The sequence below is a fragment of the Homo sapiens genome, chromosome 5 (genome assembly GCF_000001405.40).
Source record: "Homo sapiens chromosome 5, GRCh38.p14 Primary Assembly".
Classification (NCBI taxonomy): Eukaryota; Metazoa; Chordata; class Mammalia; order Primates; family Hominidae; genus Homo; species Homo sapiens.
The window spans coordinates 11150297-11173735 of record NC_000005.10 but is presented as its reverse complement, the minus strand read 5'-3'; the positions used below and the strand labels follow the sequence as shown (position 1 = coordinate 11173735).

The 23439-nt window shown below is 40.3% G+C and overlaps 1 protein-coding gene across 12 annotated transcripts in view; it reads left to right on the top strand.

The window, feature by feature from the left end:
* CTNND2 (catenin delta 2) overlaps window positions 1-23439 on the top strand; it is a 932611-nt gene that overhangs the window by 730711 nt on the left and 178461 nt on the right. For all 12 annotated transcript variants that reach the window (NR_109988.2, XM_017009074.2, XM_017009072.2 and 9 more), the window contains one exon: window positions 13977-14160. Coding sequence is in view for 11 of the 12 variants with exons in the window: in XM_017009074.2 (XP_016864563.1) it covers window positions 13977-14160 (184 nt within the window). In the remaining variant the exon portion in view is untranslated. The remainder of the gene's footprint in view (window positions 1-13976; window positions 14161-23439) is intronic.

The window sequence follows — 23439 nt, the reverse complement described above, 5'->3', positions numbered from 1 at the left end:
GATTTTTCAAAGCCTAACCTTATAGCTCCAATTGGGAATTTATCTTGTACTTTGTTATTTAATGCTATTGATCCACCAAGAAGGAATGAAACATTATAAAACAAACACAAAAACCCAATTATGACAGTTACCTGCTTAATGGTATCCCTCCCACTGCACTTGGTGGATAAAATTGAAACTTCTTATAGTGGCCTCTGAGGTCCTTTTTAGAAAGTGCCCCCTGCACATCAGCTCTCATCAAGGTTTCCACAGGACATGAAAAGAACACTCAGCTGGGATTCTCTACAGAATCCAATGCAGGGACTCTTCCGAGGAGTCGACAGGGTTAGTATACTGATCTAGAGGGTGGTCAGCAGCGGGAAGCAGTGGAAGCAAACACAGTCTCCAGAACTTGGGAAAATTGGGAGCCGTGAAGAGAGGCTGCTCTAGCCACAAGGCTTCCCAGCCCTAGGGGCACAGCAGAGGAGTGGGCATAACATTCCCCAGCTCTCTCTCCTCCTGCCCTCTGACTGCCTACTTATTCTTCCATTAGCTGAACCCTGTGGTTGGCTGCAAGCCAGAGGGCACGGGTACCCGGGAAGTTCGGCATGTGGGCAAAGTTGACATTTTTTATGACAATGTGAGTCCTGACTGTATACAGTGCCAGACATTACAGTGTTGTATATATGGAGCTGGTAGGAAGCTGAAAATTAAATGCCTTGAATTTGATCATTGAACATCAGTTTCGCCATCCAGACACTAAAAAACAAAAGCACAGTGATTTCCCTTAGGTCCAAAACATACAATACCTATGTCCCACTCTCTTCCTGGAGTCCTCACTTCCACTGTATAGTCCTTGCTGGAAACCTAGCTGTGTGCACAGGGAGTGAATTCAGTGTCCATCATACCTTCTCCAACACTCTCTCTCCACGCAGACCTTCCTTTTATTTCCAAGGAGGACGTTCTCTCTGCCTAATTGATATTATGAGTTTTGTGACATCCTGTTCTTGGTAGTGCCAGGAAGCTCCACGCTGCATCTTCTCTTAACGTCAACCTTTGTTATTTCCTCCCCATTGGCGCTCTCCATCCTTAACCACATACCACATGTGTTTGCTTTCTTGTTTTATCCTCTATCACCCACTGAAGCTCCTTGAGGCTTGAGACCACTTCTTTCATTTTCCTATCATTGTCTTCCCAGCTCTGCAGAGGAACTGAACCAAAATTGCTGAATGTTTGTGAGATTGAATTCTTTAGTGGTTTGCTTGCCCTAAGGCTTGAAACAGTTCTGGACCCAAAGAAGATTTTGTCAACTGAAAGGATGGATAATGAGACAAATGAACAAATAAATAAATGAATGAAGTTGTTCAGTCATGATTAGGCTAAAGTATGAAGATCTCACATATGAAACTCAGTAGTCACTTTCCCATAGTCATAACTTAGAGTTTTTTTTCCTGTTTCTCAGGAGGAAGCTGATGTTGGTGAAGTCAGTTAAAGTCACCAGGACTAAGATAAAATAACTCCCAGCCCCAGTGGTCCCTCACTCTGGCTACTTTTTAAAAAAAATTCTTAGGTAGCAGGACCCACCCCAGATCACTTTCCAGATTTTCCAGAGGTGAAGCTAGTGCATCGGTATCTTTCTTAATGCCCCCCAGGTGGATCACATGAGAAATATTATGGCGCGAAAGTAATTGCCATTTTTGTCATTGTTTTTAATTACTTTTGCACCGACCTAATACTATTCTAGTGTAAGACCACAATTGTCCGAATGTAAGTATAATTTTGTTGTTGAACTTTTTTACTCAATTAATATTTTAGGTGGCATCTACTCTACAATTAGGCCCACGGTCTTTAGGATTGTTATCCATCACCCTTTCTTATCTGTAAGCCTTTGCTCACTTTTTCTTGATACCTGAATGTTTTCTCTCATTCTGGCTAATTCTGCTCGTTCTTCAGGGGCCAGTGAAGACCTCCCTCTCCCATAGAACCTTCCGTGATGCCCTCCCATGGTGACTTTTCACTGTCAGAATTTTCATGACACACCACCTCTGACAGTTGATGGACTTTAGCATCTACAACTCTATAAAATGTGTTTTATTTTTCCCTGGGCAAGTGTAATTTGGTCTCCCCAAGTGGACTCTTACTAATTTACTGCGTATTCCTTAGAGTACCTAGCAATGTCTTGTCTCAACAGGCATTCACAAAATACCTGCTGAAAAACCAAAAGGAAGAAGAGAATATGTTTGGAGGAAAATATGCAGTAATAAATGTTCACATTCAGAATTATAGAAATGAAACTCAGAAATATAAATTTGAGCATGATCAGCAGAAATTAAAGATGAGTGTTAATATTATTATCCAGTGATAGCATATTTTCCATGAAAAATAATCTCTTATTAGAATGTCTGTAAGAAACAATATAATTGGAAGTGTGAGAGCCTGTGTTTATACCCCAGCTCTCTCTCTCATTCATTACCTGTCCATGGGAGATTTCTGTAACCACTTTAGCCTTTGGTTTCCTTCACAGATCAGTACCCCTCTTCTAAGGTTGTGGTCAGGATTTAATTAAATAGTGCATGTGACATGGTAATGTCTCAGGAAATGAGGGCTCATGATCATCAGTGACATTATTATGATAGAGCAACAGTATCTGATATAGTTTGGCTCTGTCCCCACCCAAATCTCTTCTTGAATTGTAGCTCCCAGAATCCCCACATGTCATGGGAGGGACCCCATGGGAGGTAATTGAATCGTGGGAGCAGGTTTTTCCCATACTGTTCTCATGATAGTGAATAAGTCTCCCAAGAGCTGATGGTTTTATAAAGGGCAGTTCCCCTGCACGTGATTCTCTTGCCTGCCACCATGTTATACGACCCTTTGCTCCTCCTTCGTCTTCTCCCATGGTTGTGAGGCCTCCTCAGCCACGTGGAATTGTAAGTCCATTAAATCTCTGTTTCTTTATAAATTACCCAGTCTCAGGTATTTCTTCATAGCAGTATGAAAATGGACTAATACAGTATCAGACAATTTTGATGTAACTGAAAAAAAGATCTAGTCATGAAATTAGTGTGGTGAATAGATGAACAATTGGGTTTTTTGATTACCCCAAATCTCAATCTGATGTTTCTTCCATGCTTCCCACAGAAGGTTGTAGCTGTGTGTGTGTGTATGTGTGTGTGTATGTGTGTGTATGTGTGTTTTAGTAGAGGTCGGCAGAATTAAATGCTTGCAAGAAAAATTAGTTGTAAAAGTAGTTTCAAAGCTGAAAGTTCTTTTTAATTAACTATGGTTAATCATTACACAACGTGTATATACTTCAAAATATCATGTTGTATGAAGATACATACATACAATTGTATCTGTCAGTTAAAAACATATAAAACTGAATGTTCTTCCTTCTGTGAACTCAAATGCCTTCTTTAAATTTCTCAAGCTACATTACCTGGGCGAAAAGGGAACTGGCAAAAGATGAAAAGCAGAACATTCTCTTGTGTTCATATATTCTGCTTGAAAGGATAGCACGCCACATCTCTTCCCTCCAATTCAAATAGCAAATTTATGTGTCTGACGTTTGTCTGATTGTTCATATGCATCACAGTCAGACTCTTATCTGACCTTCATTTTCCCCAAAAGTTGAATGACTTTGACAGGTAACTCAACTTTTCTGTGTCTCAGTTTCCTCATCTGTAAAATGGACTTGGTTGAAGGTTTACACAAGTTAATACATGCAGGTGATTAACAAAAATCCTAGTGCATGACAAGAACTCAAAGATGTTAGATATTTTCGGCTACAATTTGTGTTGTGTTTTTTTCAATGTGGTCTTGTTTTGGACATGTAGTTCAGTGATGCTCTGTGAAAAAGCTGTTGCTCTTTTTACTCTGCCACCATATCTTCATCAAGGTTGCTTTGCTTTTCTTTGAAAGCCGTAGAACCCAAGATGCTCTTTAAAGTGGCCCCAGTGCATAACAGGGTCTCCAATCCGGGGACTCTTGGATAAGCAAGCGTCCACGAATTCAATTAGCGCGCTTATGTTGACATCAACAGGACCTATGAGGTAGATGTGCTACCTATATTATAAAAAAAGAAACCCCAAGGCAATAGCCGTCTCTATCTTTGTAAGAGGTTATATATGCATGCTCACTCGAGACCCAGAGAGTTTGGAATGGCAGCTAGGGGCCTTGCCAAGATGTGTGCTGGCTGTGTAACTTCTGGGTTATAGTACTTAATGGAACTGTAAACAGCTCAATACCCTTTGTTCCATGCATAGAGATAAGGTGATGAATTTATGGATAATGGATCCCCTGAATATTCAAGAATTTGCCAGACTCTATTTTTTACCAAAGATGACATTAGCCATCCACCCATTTTCAGTAATTTATATGGTTTGTCAGCTGTCAGCTCCCCAAAGACTACCATAAAAACCCATTGATCAGCAAAGCTGGGTTTGTTAGACATACTGCAGTAAGTATCCTCCCTCACTGCAGTGGATCTAAAATGCTCCCTTGAAAGAGTCTTAGTGTCAAAAGGGAAAATGAAGGCAGGGTATTTATAAGGCTGTAGGTCCTTGGCTGGGAGATTTTAAGGTGGGTATTGCAAGGTGGGGAACCATGGGGATTGGGCAGAGTTTTAACTAGTAGCACAGTGAGGGGAGGGTCTTGAAATGGGTCATGATGAGCAAACTATTACTCTTGATAAGCCAGCTCTCTAGTTCACAGCCTAAACATTCACAGGCGAGTGTTTCCTAGAGCAAGCACTTAAATTATTTTTGATCAGTCTCAGCATGGTCTAACACAGGGATAGGAAAATGTATCTGTCCCAGTATCGTTTAACCCAGGGCCAAAAATTATGGTGATTTCACCTCCTGCATTTACTTTTTTTTAATCAGATAGTGGGGGTATTTTGTCTTTAAATCTCTCTCTCTCTCTCTTTCACTTTCTCTCTCTCCTCTTCCTCATTATGCTATTTATTGAAAAGTCAAACTTAAGTTACTTTATTTAATGTATGTAATTCAGGGCACAAAACTACCAAGAAACACAACAAAGTATAAGAAATCATTTTACACATAGAAGAATATGACAGCTGTCAGATAAAAGAGTATAGTCTTTAACTGTCATAACTTTTAGGAAAAAAGTTCCAGGACCACTTTCCAGAGATTATACAACTCAGCCTTGGTGCTTTGGTGACATTTTTTCAAAGTTCTTGCACACCCAAGGTCATTGAGGAAGGCTATAGTTCTAAGCAAGCCTAATTTTGTATTCCTAACTGTTGATCTCTTGGGGCCTGAGAAATATGAAATTCTATGGTTCATTTATAAAATGCTGTGATCAAAGATGAACCCATGACTTTTACAGATGGCCACTACCAAACACTGACATACAAATTATTTTCAATTATAATTACTTAAAAAAACTACTGTGTGAAGAGCTTTCTACTTCTTGTAGTAGCTGCATTGCCAGTTGCAGATAGGCATCCAGTTTGGGACAGGCATCATTTTCCATTAATAGAGCCTGATCTGTTGTGCCTTTTTGGTAAACATCTAATAGAAGAATTCTAAAGAAACTAGGATATGTATACTCCATTTTAGAATGAAAAGAGAGATCATAGATACATCTGAGTTTTGATTTTCATTTTTAAAAAAATCAGTCAATTATAGTCTTTTGTCTGTAATATTAACTGATTTTAAATAAAATTAATTCAGGCTCTGAAAACAAAAGTGAAGGTTATTTTTTAAACTAATCAAAAATTTAGGTGAGGGTCAGGCATAGTGGCTCCTGCCTGTAATCCCAGCACTTTGGGAGGCTGAGGCGGCAGGATCACTTGAGTCCAGGAATTCTAGACCTGGCTGAACAACATAGTAAGACCTTGTCTCTACCAAAAAAAAAAAAAAAAAGTCAGGTATGGTAGCACGTGCATGAAGTCCTAGCTACTCAAGTGGCGGAGGTGGGAGGATCACTTGGGCTCAGGAGGTTGAGGCTACAGTGAGCCATGTGAGCCATGATCACGCCGCTGCACTCTAACCTGGGCAACAGAGTGAGACTCTGTCTGAAAAAAAAAAAAAAAAAGTGAATATGACTTCTGGCTTCTTGCCATCTAAATGTTTATCATCTTGATCTAAACTTTTAATGTTTGCTGCTGGTACTGAAATTTGAACATCAGAATGTTGCTGGGATCAGTTTTGGCTTCGAACAAGACAGTACCTTAGTATTGATGGCTGTATCTTATAACAAAATTGTTTTAGAATCTGCAGATTTAAAACATTGCATGGAGACCCAGGTAAATTTAGTCAGTTTAAGCCAGAATTTGCCTTGTATGCAACAGCAAAGATCTGAATTACTTTCAAATGTCAAGGACAACTCATTCTTCATCCATTCTGGGGCTAAATAAATTTTGTATGTATTTTGAAAATGAGCAAGAATAATTCTACCTAATTCTCAATATTTGTGCCTAAGTGATTCTGTTTAAAAAATTCTGTATTTGGACCTGAAGCGTTATGTGGCAACTGTAGAATGAGAGTTTACGGTGTTATGGACCATGGCACTCCAATTCTCTCTCTTCACCTCCCACGCCTATCAGCCTCAGAGGCCCTTTCTTCCCATTGCCGGCTCTCTGAGACTCAGCCTAGAATGATGATTCAGCCTGTTGAAATTCTAAAAGAATCGACCTTTGTGTAATCCCCACTGCAAAGGCAACAGCAGGTTCCTCTTCTGGAATATTAAAGAGGAAAACGTAGAGGTCATTTGTTGTGGCCAACCAACCCCTGGGACTCCTACAAGAAGCCTTGGCCTAAGGAGCTGTTATTACAGCAACATTTGGTAAACTCTATCTAACATCGACTCAAGATAAACGCTTTAATTTTTTAAAAGCATTCAGTGAGTGTGGTATAGGAATGTTTTCCATCTAGAAGGACTCTCAAAATGATCTCCATTAGCAGCCACTCCAGAGGGTTATTGCTTCTCGGGGCCATATTGAGAGTTTATATGCATCCAAATACTCGTTTGTATAGCAGATGCACACACACAATAGTATAACAGGACTTCAGGGCGTCCTGGGCCTCTATATTTTAATCATTCAACCTCCACACACTAGGGACTCAAAGTGTGAATGGGTGTGGGTGGAGGAGGTAGTGGTGACAGCCCCTTTATACCCCTCCCCCTCCCACTCCCACCATCAACCAAGCCTAACTCTGGTTTTTTTAAAAAATGAACTTTTTTTGGCCGGGCGTGGTGGCGGGCCTGTAATCCCAGCACTTTGGGAGGCCAAAGCGGGTGGATCATGAGGTCAGGAGATCGAGACCATCCTGGCTAAGATGGTGAAACCCCGTCTCTACTAAAAATACAAAAAATTTAGCCGGGCGTGGTGGTGCACGCCTGTAGTCCCAGCTACTTGGGAGGCTGGGGCAGGAGAATGACGTGAATCCAGGAGGCAGAGCTTGCAGTGAGCCGAGATCACACCACTGCACTCCAGCCTGGGTGACAGAGCAAGACTCCATCTCAAAAAAAAAAAAAAAAAGAACTTTTTTGTCCCCATTCTTCTCCTTTTTCCTCCCCCTCCCCCCAGGTACACAAACTGTCACTCCCAAAAGAAATGACAAATTTGTTTAAAATAAATCCTCATAAATACACTAAGTAGATGCCTTAATTCACTAATTAATTGTAAATACATTTTTATAAACATTTATTTAAAATGAATGAAGCCCAGCTTTCCTTTGGGCTTGGTTTGAGCCTCACCCACATGAGAGGATTCATGCTACGTCTAAAGAGCTGAAAGCAAGCCAGTGGGCTGTCGTAAAGTCCTGCATAGCCACCAGGCAGTGTTTGATTCTACCATCATTTAAAACTTGCTTTTATTAAAACATTCTTTTTGTTCATCTGGGGTTTTTTTAACCAAGATAGTCTTCATCTCTTTCAGTAAAAAGAAACTACAATTACCCTGTATTAAAGCATTATAAAGAAGCAAATGAAAGTAATTAAGGTTTTATTAAGGAATTTTTATTAAACCAATCATTGCTCATGAATATGGATAATATCAAGGAAAAGAGCCATTCTGTGCCTGAAATAAAAATAAACTATATTTTTAAATATCTTTAGTATACGTAAATGTCTTCGCAATTAAACTTTCAAAATTATATTTGGAACAGCAATAATTTTACACTGATAAAGGAAAGCTATTGGATGGAAATAATAAAAGAAAGATGCTAATAAAACAAATTTGTCACAGATTATAATCTGGAAGGAATTAGCATATTTTCATCAGGGAAATTTAAATTTTCTAGTGACCATCAACCAAAATATTAAACCATTTTTCATGTTATCCTCAGATATAAACAAACAGGGTAATTTGTTATGAATGCTGAAAATTGGTGTGAATCCCATCAGTTTTATAGTTTTTCCTCAGATTGAAATTTTAGTATTACCTGGGCTAATTTAGAATTATCAGGGAGTTAATATAAGAAAATTACCCAAATGAAGCACCAGAGATAAGCCTTTTAATACAAAGCAGATTAATATGTTTCAGTGCTATAAATTTTTCTCTACTAGCTAAAAATGGAATTTCTGTAGATTCAAAGTAAATAATCCCACTTAAATAACATTTTTCTATTCTTGTTTGGATTTATTATTTGTGAAATTACATCTTGCAGCTGCTGTTTTATTTTCTCTAGGCATGACGTCATTTTGCTAACGCTATAATACTTACAGAAGTTTCGATGCTTACAGCACATGGCATCCTATAAGATCATACCATCCAGCTGTTATTTTTTATTTTTCTTTAGTGCTTGTTTGGTTCATGTTTGTCAGGGCATATTCTGTATGCCAGGGATTCTGTAGCTCTGTGTTCTGCATACGATGGGCATTCAGACAAGTGTCTGCTTTCATTTTATGCCTGGGACCCTGTTGGAGGATGGAACAGTGATCAAATGACAGAATGAGTTAGTGTTGAGGTTTCTGCTGAAATTAAATAGGAGATCTGACAGCAAGCATCTGGGAAGGTAGACTAGACTGATCCAGGAAAGCCTCTCTGAGTTTAGCACATTTAAGTTGACGTGAATGGAAGAAGTATTGGCCATGAAAAGATCTAGGAAACAATGTTCCAGAATGAGGCAGCAGCAAGTCCAGGGATCTGCGACACAAAGGAGCTTGTGTGTTCAAGAAGAAACAGGCCATTTTGGCTGGAGCACAGTGACTAGAGCTATATGGTACCTGGCCCACCAGCACAGGGATTTTTTGTTTTCTTCACTGATGTCTCCACTCCACGTCAAACAGAACCATGCATGTACTAGGTCCTTAATATTATGGAATGGATAAATGAATGAATGAATGTGATCAAGATGAATTTAGAGATTTAGAGAAAGGCCTGATCATGAGGCTACCATAGGAAGTTTAATTTTATTTTAAGCATAACAGGTTATTTTTGAAGGGATACGTAGTAGACTGAATAATGTCCCTACCCTGCAAAAAAAGCCCACCCCCTAATTTCCAGAGCCTGTAAATGTTACTTTTCATGATGAAAGGGACTTTGCAGGTATGACTAAGGTAGGAGGGCTTCAAATGGGGAGATTATCCTGGATTATCCAGGTGGGCTCAATGTGATCAGAGTGCCCTTATGAGAGGGAGGTAGGAGGGTCAGAGTCCAGGAAGGAGATATGATGATGGAAGCCAAAATCAGAGGGATGTAAGATCTCAAGCCAAGGAATGCGATGCAGGCAGCCCCCAGGAGGTTGACAAGATGAGGAAACACATCTTCCCCGGGATCCTCTGGAAGGAGCCAGCCTTGCCAGCCCATTTCAGACTCCAGCCCTCCAAACACAAACCTATAAATTTGTGTTTTTCAAGCCCCTGTGTGGTGATTTGTTAAGGCAGCAGTTGGAAATAAGAGCAGGATTATTCCAAATTAAAGAAAGTGTTGGGTCACTTATTGAATTGCAAACGTGAAGAATGATACATATTTTTAAATTAAATACTTGTCACTTAAAATGCATTTTAAATTTAGTTACAAAGTGTAGCTGGATCATCCTTGCTATATCTTGTATACTCTCACATTGGAATTTGGAAGGAATAAGGGAACAAGTGGATTTAGGTAAGAGAGGAGTAAGAATTAAAGTGTCCTGGGAAGGCGAGAGGGAAAAATGAGTCCATCCATTGTAGAAAGGCAAAGGGATAGGAAAGTGAAGCAGAGAGAAGAAAGCAACAGAGAGAGTGGGAGCTTCATAGGAAAGGAAAGGTATATTGTCTATTGCTGCATAACAAATTACTCCACAATTTAGCAGCTTAAAACAACCAACATTTATGTCACCCACTGTCTAAGTGTGAGGGAGTACAAGTAGGAGCCACAGATTTGGGTGGTCCTGGCTCAGGGTCTGTCATGAGGCTGCAGTCATTCGAAGGCTTGGTTGGGGTTGGAAAATCCACTTCCAAAATTTCGGCTGAAAGCCCTAGTTCGTTGCCATGCTGGTCTCTCTATAAGGCTGCCTGAGGATCCTCATGATGGCATGACAATTGGCTTCCCCTCAAATAACAATCTGAGAGAGGGTTTGGAGGGAGCCACAAAGCCTTTTTAATGACATAGTCTCAAGTCACAGTCACTTCCACCATGTTTCATTGGTCACAAATGAGTCACTAAATCAAATCCCCACTCATGGAGAGAAGAATTAGGCTCCACCATTTGAAGGAAATGTCCAAGAATTTGTGGACATATTTTAAACCACTATGGAAAAGGGGAGGGAGGAGTGAAGTAAAAGTTTGAGGAAAAAATTTATTTTCCATTTGTTCAGAGGATGCCTAGATACGTCCAGTTCTCTCCACTAATCTCTCTTCCGTCAGTCAAGACATGTGTGTGTGTGTGTCTGTATGTGTGTGTGTGTGTGTGTGTGTGTGTGTAGCAGGAAAGATGTGGAATTCCCAGTTGTTTCCCACTTGAACTCCTGCCAGATGATATAAATCTTCATCTCAGTTGTCTCCAGAAACTGCTGCTTCTATGCTTAAACCTGTCTCATGTCCAGGTAATCTAACCAAAACTCAAAATTTTGACGACCCCATGCAGCTGGTTTGCTGAATTCCCCCTCAAGAAAATCTGCCGCGTTCCATCCACTTTACCAAGACTTCATCAAGAGGTGATAAAGTTGCTTGATAGAGATTCATTGCAGTTGTAATAAGTCCAGGAAGCATTGTGCATTGCAGTTATAAATTGAGATAGATGGTTCAGAGATATGGATCAAGTACTGTGATCAGTTCACTGGAATGTGACTCGCAGATGGAGACAGCCTGGAAGGGTGGAATGAATGTGAACTTCTGTTTGTTCGTGATTCTGAATTAGGTTACACTAATTAACTAATTAAGGAAAAGTGAAGGAGATAGAACAGCCTATAAAAAGATATTCCAGACTGCATCTGCCTTTCCATTCTTTCACTTCTTGTCAGGTACTAGATTTGGCCTTTAGGTTTTCTTTGATTTCCTTCCTCCCTTTCCCTATTTCTTTTCTGTTTGTAAGAAAACAGTAAAAATAGCTGTATTCTCATAGAAAGCCTTGAGATTTTCATACTCACTGCATGTAAAAAAATGCAAAGGTTTCTCTCTGCTATTTTGTTTGTTTGTTTGCTTGCTTGCTTTCCCGAGATGGAACCTTGCTCTGTCACCCAGGCTGGAGTACAGTGGCACGATCTCAGCTCACTGCAACCCCCCCCCACTCCCAGGTTCAAGCAATTCTCCTGCCCCAGACTCCCAAGTAGCTGGGATTATAAGCACACGCCACCACACCCAGCTACTTTTTGTATTTTTAGTAGAGATGGGGTTTTGCCATGTTGCCCAGGCTGGTCTCGAGCTCCTGACCTCGTGATCCACCTGCCTCAGCCTCCCAAAGTGCTGATATTACAGGTGTGAGCCATTGCACCCTGCCTGCTATTTAGTTTTTAAAGGATATATACCATACAGCAAAATATGTCACCCATATTTTAAAACATTTATAAGCCTCAATTTTTAGATATTGGTATTTTGAGTCTGGATTTGGGAATGAAAAAAATGCACATTTTGTTCCTATATTTTCGCATTGTATACTTTGAAGAGCAGACACAAATGTCTTAACATGGTATTCCTGAAAGTTATCCTCAAATACTGGGGTAGATACTAATTTCTTTTTAATATACTATTTAAAACTGCAAAATCAATTATTTTACTCTAAAAATTAACATTTTTGTGAGGCTGGAAATGAATGAAGTCATTTTGATTATTTAGATTACCAAACTTTGGCAAAACATTTCTCAATGGATGAATAAGCAGCTTTGTGTTTTATTTAAAACAAGATAGATGCATATGTTAATATTCCTAGTATTTCAAATCAGTCCAAATCAGAATATATTCTGAGCACCTTCTGTGTACCATTGAGCACTTTTTGTGTACTCAATTTAGGATACTAATGGCAATACAAGCACAAATGAAAGTGTATATAAAATGGTCAAATTCACTAAAGCACAGTTGGACAAAATTTTTCTGTAAGGGGACAGTTTGTAAATTGTTTATGGTTTGTGGGCTGTACAGTCTCTGTCACTAATACCCAGCTATTCCTTCATAGGACAAAAGCAGATGTAAAAAATTTAGAAATGAACCGACATGGCTGTGCTTCAATAAAACTTTATTCATAAAAGAAGAGAAGCTAGATTTGCCTTCAGGTTAACCCCCTGTACTGAAGGATTATTTTATGCATGCTGGGCACTAAAAACATTTTGTTTCCTTTGCATTCACTTCAATAAAATTTCCAGTAAATGGTATTTCTAAAGACAGTTGAGTTTGCCTCTGTAGTCACATTTTTATTGAACTTTATAGTTGCTTTATTTTTATAGTCACTTATTTAGTTATTAACAGTCAGATTTGTATTATTAATGTCCTTGGATAGTTCAACATGTGCAACGCAAGGAACCAATAAAACAAATTTTGGAAATAAACATGTTCTGTTTGTTCTATTCATAACACAGTAGATGGAACAAAATCGCATTTCGTTAAAATATATCGAAAGCTCATTAAAAACATAAGCTACAAGTTCTATTTCCAAAGACAACTATAGTGTTTTATTTCCAATATCTGCAGTGATGGTACGTGTTTAGGTTCAGGGTGTATACAGGCTTTCTTTCAAAGAAAAATAGAATGTTATTCTCTGTTCCTTTTTTTCTTTATGTAGACTGTCCTAACAAAAAAAGAATAATTATTTAAAAGCATTTTCAAATGATGTTATAATATATATGCAATGTTTATGACCTTTTCTAGAACATCTCCTTTTAAAAAATATTTAAAAGCCTAAAGCATTCTATTTGTCGTTAACATTTTGCATTGCTCTGCCTGCATGAATTACTGTGACGCTCTGTCCATTGTGGACATGCCCTCTTCTTCTCACCTCTCCCTTTGTCATTATTTAAGGAGGAACATTCTGTAGGTCCTCCATGAGCATTGCTTTCAGAGAAAAGCTGACAAAACAGTCACAAGGGGCAACAGTTTAAATTGCTTGTTGAGCCAGTTGTCATCTGACCTGATGCTGGATTCTCATAAGGGTCCTACCCATGGTAGCTGGTTGTTTATGAAAGCACTTAGCTTTCATGGCAACCACATGTGCACACTGAGGTCTTGGGTAAGACAAAGATGCTCTACTAGTCCATTTCAAATAACTTTCACATCTCTTTGGTCTTGGTTAGAATTTAGCAATTTGGGTCCATTGTATTAAAATGGAACAGAAGCGTTGTTGGTAGCCTCAGTTCAATCAGACCTCGCAACCTTGATTATGCTCCCTGAGGAAATAAAGATAATCATGTCACAGTTCCTCTGCTCACTCATCAGATTTTTCACAGAATGCTTTTAATGGGTTCACACGAATGTTCTAAAATTAAGGACACACTCTAGGATGTGTGTCCACAGTATTTTCATCCTTCCTGCCAGTTCCGTTAACTCAAATAAGGAAGACAGTTTTGGAGATGAGAAAAACTTGTGGCCACCCAAAACCTCTTTTTGTGTGTCTCTTGCAGGAGTCCTTTGGAACCTCTCCTCATGCGATGCACTCAAAATGCCAATCATCCAGGATGCCCTAGCAGTACTGACCAACGCGGTGATTATCCCCCACTCAGGCTGGGAAAATTCGCCTCTTCAGGATGATCGGAAAATACAGCTGCATTCATCACAGGTGCTGCGTAACGCCACCGGGTGCCTAAGGTCAGTCCTGTGTCACGAGTGCCTCCTCCCACCATCTTCCCCTGGCCAGACACTGTCTCTTTCCATAACTTTAGTGGCTCTTTTACTGAGGATCAGACCATTCTGAAAACATGAATGTTGATGTGGCAACGGAGTATAAGAAGTTAATTTTAAATTTTCTAACCAGGTAATAAAGACATATAGGTATCTTTCTCTACCTAATTAATGTTAGACTTACTTCACATGATTTCTTAGGTCTAAGGTGAAAAACAAACATTTTTATTCCAACCCAAAATAAGTCATTTTCTTTGGCCGAAAACAATAGTTCTTGGTAATTTCACATTATATCATGCATATAGCACAACCAGGCAGGCTGACTGGTTGGGCAGAGTTCATAACAGATACATAGGGATCTGGTTAACTGTCACAAGTAGCCATTTTTTAAAAATTCTCATTTTAAAAATTCTCTGTTTGACTGTAAGATTCTATAATTCTTAGAAATAGCTCTTTAATAAGGCCTGTTGTATTAAATGGTTTTTTAAATAATGAAAGTAGCAAATGTCTTGTGATTCTCTCCTGATGCGTTTTTCACAAAAATCATCAGGAATCTATTGAGATTTCTTAGAATCAACTTTATGTCTTGTTTAATTTTTGCTCTTAGGAAGGAAAGTAGTTACCAAGATATGATTCTTCTAAACTCTAGAAACTGTGCTCCCAAAAGTGTTGTATTTTGTACCAAAGTTGCAAATCTCTGCTGGATGAAATTGCTGGGATAGGGGCAAAAGGGGTGATTGAAAACACCTAGCCAAATAATCTATATTTTGAAAGTGAAACATACAGGATTGTTTTAGTTGAAATGGTTCAAAGCTGCCATTTCTCCTACAGTTGATCAGTTTCTAGGTATAACAACCAGTCTCTACTGAGAAGGAACAAAATCCACCTCAGTGGCATTAATAATCGTCATCTCATGAGTATTCATCCCAATGCTCTCAGCCTCCAGTCTTGAGAGGCGGTATGTGTTTGTGTGAAATGTGTGTGCACAGAGCAAGATAAGAGCCTGCCTCCACGAATATCTACATGCGTTCATGGGCAGGAATGGGAATCCTCTGACAATTCTGCTTTTCGTCTGAGTCACGAAATCATGAACATCTGACGTGATTTCTCTGGATAGGTGCTACCATATGGCAAATATACAGTACTCTGAAACCCCCTACTGAGGCATCCATTTCATAACCCCTTAAATTCTGTTATCCTTGGGCAAACATCTGTCCCACCAGAAGAAATATAACTCCTCCAAAGCTAAAATTGTAGGCTCTTCTGAACTCCCATGCCTGATTTTTTTCTATTTCACTTATTCACAACTATTTAAAAGTGTTTTTCCCTTGCTAGCATTCCCTACTTTCACAGTGTCAGGGTCCCTAGTGAAGACTGCAGAAGGAACTGTCTCAGAAGCAATTGTAGAAGTGTAATCAATAAGGACCTGGCTAGCTCTGTCTGTTAAAATGCTCTCTGATTAATATAGTAGCATAAGTATGTCTTCGTGGTGTTTGAAAGGATATAGGCTACCACCTTTATTAAAGTACATTTGACATCCTTTGATGAAAAAGTAGATGAAGAAGCTAGACCAGTGTAGGCTCACGGGTCCCCTTTACACATCATCTGGCTAAGTTTAGGGTCTGGGTTGTGTTGCTGGAGCACAGTTTGGTGAGACCAGAATGACTCCCCATCCCTGTCTATTCACACATACAGCAGCTCGACACTTGCTGCTGCTTCTGCTGCTGGCCAGGAGTGACCACATAATAGGAAGCAAAAAATGATGCCATTTGATTCAGTTTGTCATGCAGACATCTGTGACACCAGAACAGTCACAGTCGTCCATATCATGACAGAAGGCTTTAGATTTTAGTATGCAAGTGTATTTACATTCTTCATTTTTCCAACAAAGCCAAGATCACTATTCACATTAAAGAAATGACTTCCTGTGCTGCTTCTGCTATGCAGCAGTTTTATCCCAGGAGCATTTGCTGACCACCTGCTTTGTGTTGGGGAGGGCTAAGGAGGCTGAGAGAGGGCAGACTCTGCCCTGCAGAAACTCATGACTGAGTGGAAGAAATGGCACTCAGCCGGTGAGCCCCAGCACAACAGCCTAGTGGCAATTTAGTGTTATGATCATGGCAGTACAGGAGGAAAAACTGGTGAGAAAGTGACTGACAGCTAGGTGTGGCCAAAAAAGGCTTGAAGAGTCAGGTGAGATTGGGCTAAACATAGAAATGATGCAATGGGAAAGCATCATGGAGGGCAGCAGAGGCCAGCACTCGCTACCCAGCGTTGAAAGGACTCTAGAGGAGTTTGAGATGCACCATCAATAGAGATTAGATTTTTAAATAAAATTAAAGTAAGTGTTATTATTCATAAAATCTCTGTCTTCCAGGGGCCTGAAAGTTCCACTTCAGATATGTTGTTGATTCTCACATGCATCGTAGCCCAATGAGCTCATGTGTAGTTAAGTCGTGAAGCCAGGACTTGAGCCACATCCTGACTCTGGTTTCAGACCATCCCCACCCTATCACACAGAGAGGAAATTCAAAGTTATGGGATAGGAGACTGCTAACAGATCTGTGCTTAAAACAATACACAACCACCACCTGCTGACGGGGCAACACTTTCCTCTCTGTTGGTTCCTTAAATTTGCTTCCAGAGATAAACGGAGTGGCATCCATGTGGCCAACATCATTTGGCTTTTAAATGCCAGTGGTCTTCTCCCTCTCCCTTCTTTCTTACTTCAAATTCTTCCCTGCTAGGACCTACGGAGTGTGTAGCTACCTGGGACAGCATTAGCCACTCAGCCAAGTGCAAGTAGTCTCTTGACCTCCACCTTTGATGTTCATGTAGACAACTAGAACTGTGGGTGCCTTTTTGTGTTTTAAAATAAGACTATATTTTAAGGCATATTTTAGATAATAATGTTGACATTGTTTTTCCAGTACTCCTTTCTTCTTTTGCCAATGACTTTAAGATGAGTTGATATTTTTGGTTTGCTTCTGTAGCTATTGTTTCAGGAATATATAAAGAAAATAAAACATCCAAGAAAATAAAACTCTTTTCCTAGAATACTATTTCCTAAACTAGTATAGCTTGGAAATCCAGCAGAAGGAGCATGTGGTAGGTAAAAGTAAATTCATCTGGTCATTATTGAAAATCATTACTCTTGATTTTTCTTCCTAGCAGGATTCAGACTTGTTTATGTGATTTCAGGGTGGGGAGCCAAGGTTAAGAATTTAAGGAATTAGTGTTTTTAAAGAGGTCACCTTTTCATTTTTTGGAAAAAAATAATCTATGAATGCAAATTATATTGCTCTTAAATGTCCAAAAGCTTATTAGAGATAAATTTAAGTCAGTAAAATCTGCCTAAGGCTTAGCCAGAACCTGACAATGTGACACTATTCTGTCTTTAGACAATTTCATGCAGGCTTAATAGGCTCTGTCCAGTTTCTCAAGCTTTCCTCTAGGCAGTGGATATTGTACCAATATCAGTGGCTGTCCCCACTTCATGCCCTAACGCCACCCCATTCCCTACCACCTCCAGGTCGTAGACTACTGAAGGAGGCACATTTACAGGGAGCATTCTAAAGAGAGGAGACACTTGCTTTGCCTTCTCTAGAAAGGAATGGAGAATCTTCATGGGAAGCTATATCATGTTGACATAGCAAAAATTTAAGCACATATGAAATGTAAAATGAAAAGTTAATGCCCTTAGTCCTTTTTCGTTTGAAATTCATTTGGGGACAAGAAATTGAATTTTTAAAAAGCAGATCTATCTTTGTGTTCCTGGAGTATCTGTCTGTCACTGAGGAAAAAGGATAGAAGTGGGGAAAAAAAAGCCTTAAATTTTGTTGGAGGCCTGAGTTGATAAGGATGATGGCAGCTAGATTGTGAGAGGCCAAGCGGCATGGGGAGGTGGGGTTGCGGGGGTTAGAGCTGTGGGTGATCAGAAGGGAAGGGCTTCATTTCTACGCTCTGCCTCCGCTACCTCTTCCCCACCACCCCTAATCCCAGGCACACTAATGCTCCCTTCTTCATTTCTTCCCCTTTGCTAGTTGTTCCTTTTGCTCCAATTCTGCCAGATTCAAGCATCCATTTTTAACAAAAAACATTTTAAAATATGGCCCCAAACAAATGTGGCAAAATGTTGGAGAGGCTTAGGATGTAAGAATAAATGAGGTTATTTTGTTAGTCTTCTCTGTTTTGTTTTATGATGAAGGAGTCCTCCAGGGAAATGAATTTCATATAGAGTGAGGTTCAGACCTTGAAATCAATTCAGTTTTGCACTCATTGTTGTTTCCTTGCACATCGTGTGATCAAATCCATCTCTTAACCTGTGGCCGCTATAATCATCACCTTCAACCAAAAACATGTGTTGAGGGACCATGGTCTGAACGCTAACCAGGGAACATTGAGCTGGCTCCGCTCTCTCTGGACAAGCTCATGTTGGCTGAAGTCACTGCGGTGTGTTGAATAAATCTTCCCCCAAAATTCTTGTCTACCCAGAACTTCAGAATGTGATCTTATTTGGAAATAAGGTCTTTGCAGATACAATTAGTTCATGAAGATCAGGTCATACTAGGTAAGAGTGGGCCCTAAATCCAATGAATGGCATCTTATAAAAAGAGGACATATGCACAGAGAGACACACAGGGAAGAAGGCCTTGTGAAGACAAAGGCAGAGATTGGAGTGTTGCAGCCACAATTCAGGGATAACTAAGAATTGCTGCAACACCAGCAGCTAGGAAGAGGCAGGGAAGGAATTTTCCCAAGAGCCTTCAGAGAGAGCACGGCCCTGCTGGCACCTTGATTTTAGATTTCTGGCGTCCAGAACGTGAGATAATAAGTTTCGGTTGTTTTAAGCCACCCAGTTTGTGGTACTCGGTTCTGACAGCCCTGGGAATCTATTATGGTCACTCCAGTAAGAAAATAAGAGAGGGGCTGCTAAGCTAGGAAGCCAAGGAGCCGCCTGAGGATGCAGCACTGAGAAGAGGAGGAGATAGACAACTCAGAGATGCTGCCTGTCCCCAAACAGTGCCCACACACTCAACAAACAACCCAGATCAAAGATGTTTTTCTGTTTTTCTTTGTGCACAAGGCCATTCCCCTCTGTAGCTTAGCTACAAAACCAAACACTACCTGTAGCAGGATTGAGTTCTACAAGTCAAGATGTGGCTGTCTCGGCCAAAGAAGGTTCATATCCAACCTCTTGACTGGATGGCCATGAAATGAGGGTCTCCCCACACACGGATCTGATTTCTGTGTGTTCTGCTCTTATTTATGAGCCAACCTTTCCTTTTCCTCCCGACATTGAACTAGCTTCTGAACATTGCATGGATTTTTCTGACACTATGGACAGCCAGAAGTCATTTGAGGTTCTTACGCAGGGGATGTGACACCATATCAGTGTCATTTAAGGATGTCGACTCTAGCAGCTGTGTACAGACCTGATGCTTTGTGGATTTTCTGTGAAACATGACTGCATTTCCCATTTAAAATATCACCGATGCATATCCTAAAGATCCCGCTGTGGCTGTTATCATCATTTCAGGGTGAACTATGGGTAGAAGCTTGCAGAGCATACTTTTTTACCTTTTAATCTAGCAGCTAGCTCAATAAAACAACTGTGATCTGCACTCCTGTATAGTCGCATTATATTTAGTCATGGATACTTAGGACTTTATCTCCAGCTGAAGTATGTGCATAAGGCTGGCTGGCTAACTTCCACAGCTCATTTCCCGGTGCCGCTGAGTCGTTTATTTATTTTTATTATTCTATTCCCACTTCAGTATCTTGTCCTAAAGGACAACAATATACAACCCTAATTTTTTCCATCTATCTTTGTGTACATAAGAATGTTATTAAGCCCGTCAAAGTATCTGCACTGTGCCTTTGCTTACGATTGTAATTAAACTCAGACCCTCAATTAGTCATTTTAACCCATAAAATGGATGAGTGCTTGGTCCCACGGTGCCTCTAATTCTAGAGTGACCTTGAGAAACGCCCCTTCACAAAGTAATGTTAATGATAATCACACTCTGGCTACAAAGCTCCAAGGACGTTTATTTTCTGTGGCTTACTCTTGCATTAGCCACAGGTAAGAAGAGGAATTATTATTATTTTTATGTTAAGTTCAGTTGTCTGCCAATATTATTCATCTGTTAAAAAGAATCTTTTTGAGAAAGTGTTTTTAAAGTGTTGTATCATGAGCCCCAAACTAGCTCATCCCAGTCTTGGCCAGAGATGAGGGGCATGTGTCAGCTGAATTCAGCACCCTTTTTTTTTATTCTTTTGAGATGGAGTCTTGCTCTGTTGCCCAGGCTAGAGTGCAGTGGCATGATCTCGGCTCACTGCAACCTCTGCCTCCTGGGTTCAAGCGATTCTCCTGCCTCAGCCTCCCGAGTGCCTGGGACTACATACATACCACCACACCCAGCTAATTTTTGTATTTTTAGTAGAGATGGGGTTTCACCGTGTTGGCCAGGCTAGTCCTGAACTCCTGACCTCAAGTGATCCTCCCGCCTCAACCTCCCAAAGTGCTGGGATTACAGGAATGAGCCAATGCACCCAGCCTGAATTCAGCACTCTTAATCCAGGTTCTTGAAAATGAGAAGGACTCTGTGTGGACATGGGAACAGATGAGACACACCACTCACCCCACTCCACCCCATTTTCCCACACCTGGTCCTAGAGCAGAGGAAGCTCCTGGCCGGGCAGCTTAGTCCTGATCAGTGTGTCTAGTAAAGATGTGAAGTGATTTTATTGAGTCAGTTCTCAGCAGTGACAGTCCTCTTCGATGGGAGGGGACAGAGTTCAGTGGAGTGAGGAGGAGTAAGGTGATCTTAGGAGCTCCTCAGAAAAGACAGTTGGCTGCCCATCTCAGCAGCTCCACCAGTGACGAGGGCTCGGGTCTCCTGTGGTGCAACCCCAACATTTCCAGATCACTTCCTCCCACCCAGTCAGAAGGAGGTGTGCTTTATACAGTCATGCATGGCATAACAACAGGAACGTGTTCTGAGAAATGCATCTTGAGTCCATTTCATTCTTATGGAAACGCCGTAAACACCATAGGGCGCACTTACACAAACCTAGACGTTATAGCTTATGACACAGCCTAGGCTGTATGATATGTCTATTGCTCCTAGGTTACAGGCCTGTATAGCACAACACTGTCCTGAATACTGCAGACAGTTGTAACACAAATGGTAAGTATGTGTCTATCTAAACGTATCCATACATAGAAAAGGTAATACTTTGCACTTAGTGGCAAATAGAAGAATCCTTGGAGTTTGCAGTTGAAATTACTGCATAATATCATTAAGATAAGACAGCCTGATGCATTTAGGTCATCATTATATGCCCCAGACTGGACAAGCTGGGATATGTTTTCCCTAATTAATGCCTCAGAAGACAATATTCCTTTTTTCAGTATCTCCGTGGCTGATCCACCTCTCTCTTACTAACACATTCTTTCTTTACGTATAAAAGCTTTTTACTTGAAGCTGGCTTAAAGTTTCTATCTTGTAGCCCTTGAGCTTTGTATCTGTTAGGAATTTTGTATGTGCCCTGTCTTTTCCATTAGGAAAAGTTCGAAAAAGCTTCATTTTTCATTTCTTTCAGATGGCCTTTCTTCCCCAAAAGGAGTATCATTGTCCAAAGTTCTTCCTGGCATTTTTGTTCCCTGAAATAGTATTGGGGATAATTTCTTCCCAAACACTATTTTGTTTTCCTAAGCTAGAAAAAGTGAGAGTATAATGATTTCTCCTTGAATATAAATGATTAATATAAAATCCCCCATCATGCTATTCCCTTTTAAAGTTTTCATCACTTATTTCTGCAAACTTTGATCTACTTAATTATGAAAATTTGCACACTCCAACTGAGATTTGTTTTAAATTATGTATCCTGTAATTTGGTTGCAAATATGGGCTTCTTTTAAAAGGACAAGCAAATATTTAATTTATCTTTTCAGCGTGAATGAATAGTCATTATTCCTATGAAGACATGAATATTTGGATTTTTCCATTAATATGAACAAATTACTCACTTTAAAAGAAATTCAATGAAAAAGTTTAGTGAATTATCAATTGGTTTAAAATGATGTTTAATAGATATTTCTATAAAACATTAGTACAGGGTATTAGCTCCCTGATAAATAAAAAGCTGGTTCATTCTTTAAATCCTTCATAACTTCTTGACATTAAAAATGTAATTTTTCTTCCTGCTGCCTCCCAAATTACATTACATTGCATAAGAAGTAACTTCCCTGGAGGAGAAGCAAACAAATCTATTAACCATAAATTGAAGAAGAAAGAGCACACCAAACGCTTTCATGTACTGCTTACGTACCCAGCCTCTCCAGCACTGTAACACATCGATTTTCATGCTGTTTATTCTTTCCCATTTCAAAGTGGCATTATTTGAAAATAAATAAAACTGACATTTACCAAAGTTGGGCCAAACAACCCGTGAGTTAGTACAGCTCACAGAACAAGCAGAGTCCACGTGGGGCCATGCCCCTGTTGATGAACCTTAAGTGAAGATCTCCAGCTTGTAGATGTGATCCTGTTGGAGGAAGGAAAACATCAGCAATGAGAGGCATGAAAGGCACTCAGAAGGCAGCAGTTCAGGCTGGACGCGGTGGCTCACGCCTGTCATCTCAGCACTTTGAGAGGCCAAGGCGGGTGGATCACCTGAGGTCAGGAGTTCCAGACCAGCCTGACCAACATGGTGAAACCCCATCTCTACTAAAAATAAAAAATTAGCCGGGTGAGCTGGCGGGCACCTGTAATCCCAGCTACTCAGGAGTCTGAGGCAGGAGAATTGCTTGAACCCAGAGGCAGAGGTTGCAGTGAGCCGAGATCATGCTACTGCACTCCAGCCTGGGCGACAAGAGCAAAACTCCCCGTCAAAAAAAAAAAAAAAAAAAAAAAAAAAGAAGGCAGCAGTTCAGAGGCCTCACCACCTGCCACCACCTGATGTCAGCATGCAGAGCTGGATGCTATCTGTGCTGCACTGCGCTTCTCCACATTCTGCTGGCCCCACATCCTCTTTTTCTTGAGTCTGGTTGGTCCTTAATTAACCAAGAATATTTGAAATCAAATTTAGTTTCCCTCTAATTGACCAAGACTATTTCAAGTAAGTGAGTAGAAAAGTCTCCATGTGCCATTCTATGCTCTCTGGCCCCCTTTCCTAGGATAACGACTTTGTCCCGTCACTGTGCGGGCCAGTAGAGAAGTCCACCGGATTTACTCAGGG